This window comes from Homo sapiens, chromosome 16, assembly GCF_000001405.40.
Source record: "Homo sapiens chromosome 16, GRCh38.p14 Primary Assembly".
Classification (NCBI taxonomy): Eukaryota; Metazoa; Chordata; class Mammalia; order Primates; family Hominidae; genus Homo; species Homo sapiens.
The window spans coordinates 33,385,482-33,392,137 of NC_000016.10; the positions used below are offsets into that span (position 1 = coordinate 33,385,482).

The following is a 6,656-nucleotide window of genomic DNA, read 5'->3' on the forward strand; positions in this document are numbered from 1 at the left end:
TTATTACATATATTTATAATATATATATAATTAATATATATAATATATAAATATATTTTATATTATAAATATATATAATTATATATAAATATAATATATATTTATAATATTTTATATAGAAATATATATATTTATAATATAATTATATATATATTTTTTTTGCCCCCGCCGCCGCGGATTCTTGCCCCCGACGCCACGGCTTTTTGCCCCCTACGCCGAGGCTTTTTGCGGCTTTTTGCCCCCGCCGCCGCCCCTTTTTGCCGCCGCAGTTTTTTGCTCCCGCCACCGCGGCTTCTTGCCCCCGCCGCCGCGGCTTTTTGCGGCTTTTTGCCCCTGCGGCATTTTGCCCCCGCCGCCGCCGGTTTTTGCCGCCGTGGCTTTTTACCCCCGCCACCGAGGCTTTTTGTCCCCGCCGCCCCAGCTTTTTGCCCCCACCGCCGCCGCTTTTTGCCACCACCGACGCGGCTCTGAGGGCGGGAGCGGCACACTCGGCTGCCGGCTCTACCGGCGTCCTTGTTCGGGCGGAGCCGAGGGGCGCTCCTGGTCCAGCTCTCCCGGCTCGGGGGTTCCTTGCCTAGGCGCCCGCGCCCCGAGCTCCCCGCCTTGGCCGCTGCGGCCTGCATAGAGCGGCGCTGCGCGTAGCGGCCAGGGGAGAGAAGAAGGAGGGCGGTGGCGGGGGTGATGCGGCGGCCTCTTTGGGAGGCGCAGGGGCCGCAGCCAGCCAGACGCTGCAGCAGTGTGGGCAGCTCCAGAAGCTTGTGGGCAGCTCCAGAAGCTTATCCGCATCTCCATTGGCAGCCTGAGCCGGTTGCGCAACAAGTGCGCTGTGTCCAAGGACCTCACCCAGCAGGAGATACGGACCCTGGAGGTAAGGGGGTCGTGGACCCAGGCTGGGCTCGAGGAGCGGCCCAGACACCTCCCTCCGTGCCCGAGTTCACTCCTGGCCGAGTTGCATCCTTGAGCCCGAGTCGCCCCGTTGGAGGCTTCCCCTCCCTCCTGCACTCGCTGATGCGGCAGCCGGAGGACCCGGGACCAGCCCTCACCTTGGGCAGGATCTGTGGGGCGGGTGCGTCGTGGGAACTGGCAGGGAGGCTTGAGGGGCCCATGGGCGAGGTGGGCTGCGAGCGGACATCCCCTTACCCCCTGAATTTCCATCTGGTCCAGCCCTCTCATCTTGTGGGTGAGGAAACCGAAGGCCTGAGGGAGAACTGACTTGCCTGGAACCCCTGTTAAGGAGAATTAACAAAGTGTGGTTATTAAAGGAGCACTGAGTTGGGAGTGAGACCTGGAGGCCCACACCCTTGGTTAAGACATAATACCACCTTGAGTCTGGCCTGTTGACTGAGGGTGAGCCACTCCATCCTCATCTGATTGTGGGGTCTTGACCTCAAGGGGTTGCCTGAAGGAAGAAGCACATGGGTTTGCTTTCCTAGCTCTGTCCAGTACCTTAGGGACCCTGAGGACTGGAGAGATTCTTGGAGAGCCATCTGGTGTATATCATGGGTGGGCCTTTTTTGAAGGTCAGTCTGCCCAGTGGGCTGGCTCAGCCCCAATGAACTGTCTTGAATCTTTGGAGTTGTCTGGGTACTTTTAAGGGCTTCTCATCCTTGCACCAAAAGATCCCCTGGAAATTAGGTGGGAAAACTTTAACTTTTGTGGGGCCTTGTGTTTGTCTTAAAAGTTCATGCACATGGCCAGATGTGGTGGCTCACACCTGTTATCCTGTCCTGGATCCCTTGAGTCAAGGAGTTTGAGACTAACCTGGACAATATAGTGAGACCCTGTCTCTACAAAAAATAAAATATTAGCCAGTGGTGGTTGTGCACATCTGTAGTCCCAGCTACTACTGTGGCTGAGGTGGGAGGAGCACTTGAGCCTGCACTGAGCTGTGATCTCAGCAGTGTACTCCAGCCTGGGCCACAGAGCAAGACCCTGACTCAAAAAAAAAAAAAAAAAAACCAACAAGAAAAATACTTGAAGATTTTTGCATTCTGTCCCACTACCCATTGGTTGTCATGTGAAGATAATGTCAGAAATTCTTTACAATTGCTTCCAGAAGGAGTAGCCTTTTGATCTAGTGCACAGGTGTCTTTTGGCTTCTCAGGGTCACATTGGAAGAAGAATGCTCCTGGGCCACATATAAAATACACTAATGCTAACGATAGCTGATGAGCTTAAAAAAAAAAAAGGTTTGTGCATAATTTTCATGATACCCACCACCACAGATAGGTGGAAAAGTCCTTGTAGTCAAAGGGTTGGACGCGGCTGACCTAGTGTCTTGTCATCCGTTTTGGCTTTCTCCCTGATTCCAGAATGCAGGTATAGATGTAGAGACGTGCTCTCAGGACAGCTGTTGAGATAAAAAATTCTTTGTCATTTATTCCCAAGCACAGCTGTTTGTCATTTGCATTGAAAAAGTCTCCATTCAAACTGCTGTCACATATAAAATCTATTTATGTAAGTCTGTATTTTTCTGTTGTCTTGGCCTTTTGGGCAGTAGAGTGTTTTAACCGAGCAAACTGTCCTTCCAAATAATGAAGTCGAAGTCAGCCTACCTGCTTGCCATTTTTCTTCCCCTTCCATTTTTCTAACTTCAGGATAATTGTAAGAATGAATTAAACTTTATGTTGAAGGCCGGGCACAGTGTCTCAGGCCTGTAATCCCAGCACTTTGGGAGGCAGAGAGGGATGTATCACTTGAGCTCAGGAGTTGAAGACCAGCCTGGGCAACATACTGAGACTCCGTCTTGTAAAATTAAATTAAAATGTTTAAAAAGAAGAGAAAAAGACCTGTGTTTAAATTTTAAAAAAGGGGAAATTGTAATGCAAAATGTGGACTATGCCAGCTATGATTGGGAAAAATAATTTTTCCTACAGCATTATCTGTAGACTTGTATTAGCAGCATACTGGTCATAAGCGTTTTGCTTTCCTCAAACATGATGAGGTAAGCTACTTTAAAGTGTGGTAGGGCTGTCTTCCACGTGGCTCCTGGTGGTGTTGAGTCCCAATTTAGCCAATTAATTTGGGTTTAGTTTTGATGTGGATAAGGGAGACCAGCTTCATTCATGGTGCACACACAGTTTTGCCAATAAGGGAAAAAAAAAGCAACCTGAATGTTCCTACTCATTAGATGCTATCTGGAGAGCTCCTACCCCACCCCCACCAAGGCCCAGACCCTTAAAAAGACTCAGTGCAGCCTTTCTGTATCTCATACTGTATTCTGCAAGATGCTCCTGTGAAAGAAAGTTGTGCTGCATCAGCCGTCTCCCTCCTGAAGATCCCTGCGGATGAGGATTTGTGTTTTAAAGGTTCTGAGAAGTCCTGCAATGACAGTCCTCAAACTTATTTGTCCAGGGGATCTTTTCTTCCACTGAACGTAGTTGGGGAGACACGGCCTTAAGCCTTGAGCAGAGAAAGAGACAAGAAGCTGTTGGCTCACTTACAACCAAGTGTTGTGTTTATGTGTTAGGTTTTCATGAAACTGAGGTGCTGTTTGAGGTTCTAAATCAAATTGGGTGGTTGAGGAGAGCCTGGTATCCCTGTAGACTTAGCCAGCCATGAGAGGTTGCCTTTTGTTGAAGGAGGTATTTTACAAAGGGAAGTAGGATGTCTCCTGGGCATCACATTAGCACTTAAATATATGTATCACTGAAATGAAATGAAATGATGAAATGGTGAAATGAAATAATGAAATGAAAGGAAATGATGAAATGAAGGAATGAACTGATGAAATGAAATGATAAAATGATGAAATGATGAGATGAAGTGAAATGGTGAAATGATGAAATTAAATGATGAAATGATGAAATGAAATGATGAAATGATGAAATGATGAAATGAAATGATGAAATGATGAAATGGAATGATGAAATGATGAAATGGTGAAATGAGATGAGGAAATGAAATGAAATGACGAAGTGAAATGATGAAATGAAATGAAATGATAAAATGATGAAATGAAATGAAAAGATGAAATGATGAAGAAATATGAAATGATGAAATGAAATGAGGAAATGAAGTGAAATGATGAAATGATGAAATAATAAAATGAAATGAAATGATGAATTGATGAAATGAAATGATGAAATGAAATGAAATGATGAGATGAAAAGATGAAATGAAATGATTAAATGAAATGATGAGATGGAAAGATGAAACGAAATGATGAGATGAAATGATGAGATGAAATGATGAAGTGAGGAGATGAAGTGAAATGATGAAATGAAATGATGAAATGATGAAGTGAAATGATGACATGAAATGATGAAATGAAATAATGAAAGGATGAAATGATGAGATGAAATGATGAAAGGAAATGAAATGAAATGATGAAATGAGGAAATGAAATGAAATGATGAAGTGAAATGATGAAATAATGAAACTAAATGAAAAGATGAAATGATGAAATGAAATGATGAAATGATATGAAATGATGAAATAAAGTGAAATGATGAAATGATGAAATGAAATTAAAAGAAATGATAAAATGAAATGATGAAATTATATGAAATAATGAAATGATGAAGTGAAATGATGAAATGATGAAATGATGAAATAATGAAATGAAATGAAATGATAAATTGATGAATTGATAAAATGAAATGAAATGAAATGACGAGATGAAAAGATGAAATGAAATGATGAAATGAAATGACGAGATGAAAAGATGAAATGATGAGATGAAATGAAATGACTAGATGAAATCATGAGATGAAATGGTGTAATGATGAGATGAAGTGAAATGATGAGATGAAATGAAATCATGAGATGAAATGATGAAATGATGAAATGAATGAAATGAAATGAGATGAAATGATGAGATGAAATGATGAGATGAAATGATGAAATGAAAGGAAATGATGAAATGATGAAACAAAATGAAATGAAGAAATGAAATGATGAAAGGAAATGATAAAATGATGAAATGAGATGAAATGTAATGGTGAAATGAGGAAATGAAATGAAATGATGAGATGAAATGAAATGAAATGATGAAATGATGAAATGGAATGATGAAATGATGAAATGATGAAGTGATGAAATGGTGCAATGAAATGAGGAAATGAAATGAAGAAATGAAATGATGAAGTGAAATGATGAAATGAAATGAAATGATGAAATGATGAAATGAAATGAAAAGATGAAATGAAGAAATGATACGAAATGATGAAATGAAATGAAGTGAAATGAAATGATGAAATGATGAAATGAAATGATGAGATGAAAAGATAAAATGAAATAAAATGATTAAGTGAAATGACGAGATGAAAAGATGAAATGAAATGATATGAAATGAAATGATGAGATGAAATCATGAGATAAAATGATGAAATGATGAGATGAAGTGAAATGATGAAATGATGAGATGAAATGATGAGATGAAATAATGAAATGAAAGAATGAAATGAAAGGATGAAATGATGAGATGAAATGAAAGGATGAAATGAAATGATGAAATGAGGAAATGAAATGATGAAACGAAATGATGAAGTGGAATGATGAAATTATGAAATGAAATTAAAAGAGGAAATGATGAAATGATATGAAATGAAATGAAATGATGAAATGAAGTGAAATGATGAAATTAAATGATGAAATGAAATGATGAAATAAATGAACTGAAATGATGATGAAATGAAATGACGAGATGAAAAGACAAAATGAAATGAAATGATGAAATGACGAGATGAAAACATGAAATGATGGGATGTAATGAAATGATGAGATGAAATCATGAGATGAAATGATGAGATGAAGTGAAATGATGAGATGAAATGAAATCATGAGATGAAATGATGAAATGATGAAATGCAATGATGAAATGAATGAAATGAAATGATGAAATGATGAAATGACATGAAAAGATGAAATGATGAAATGAAATGATATGAAATGATGAAATAAAGTGAAATGATGAAATGAAATTAAAAGAAATGATAAAATGAAATGATGAAATTATATGAAATGATGAAATGAAGTGAAATGATGAAATGATGAAATAATGAAATGAAATGATGAAATGATGAATTGATGAAATGATGAAATGAAGTGAAATGACGAGATGAAAAGATGAAACGGTGAAATGAAATGAAGAGATGAAAAGATGAAATGAAATGATGAGATGAAATGAAATGACTAGATGAAATCATGAGATGAAATGGTGTAATGATGAGATGAAGTGAAATGATGAGATGAAATGAAATCATGAGATGAAATGATGAAATGAATGAAATGAAATGAGATGAAATGATGAGATGAAATGATGAGATGAAATGATGAGATGAAATGATGAGATGAAATGATGAAATGAAAGGAAATGATGAAATGATGAAACGAAATGAAGAAATGAATAAATGAAATGATGAAATGAAATGATAAAATAAAATGATGAGATGAAATGTAATGGTGAAATGAGGAAATGAAATGATGAAATGATGAGATGAAATGAAATGATGAAATGATGAAATGGAATGATGAAATGAAATGATGAAATGATGAAGTGATGAAATGGTGCAATGAAATGAGGAAATGAAATGAAGAAATGAAGTGAAATCATGAAATGAAATGAAATGATGAAAAGATGAAATGATGAAATGAAATGATATAAAATGATGAAATGATGAGATGAAGTGAAATGATGAAATGATGAAATAATG

At 38.7% G+C, this 6,656-nt stretch overlaps 1 protein-coding gene across 1 annotated transcript; it reads right to left on the reverse strand.

Moving 5' to 3' along the window:
* Nucleotides 1–501: 501 nt before the first annotated feature.
* On the reverse strand, nt 502–2,234 carry LOC105379473 (uncharacterized). The gene is made up of 3 exons (XM_011546043.2): nt 2,218–2,234; nt 1,323–1,399; nt 502–1,226 (listed from the first exon to the last, which is right to left on the reverse strand). Exon 3 carries the CDS (start codon nt 1,171–1,173, stop codon nt 502–504), a length of 672 nt encoding a protein of 223 aa, XP_011544345.1. The 5' UTR covers nt 1,174–1,226; nt 1,323–1,399; nt 2,218–2,234.
* Between the last annotated feature and the right edge of the window lie 4,422 nt (nt 2,235–6,656).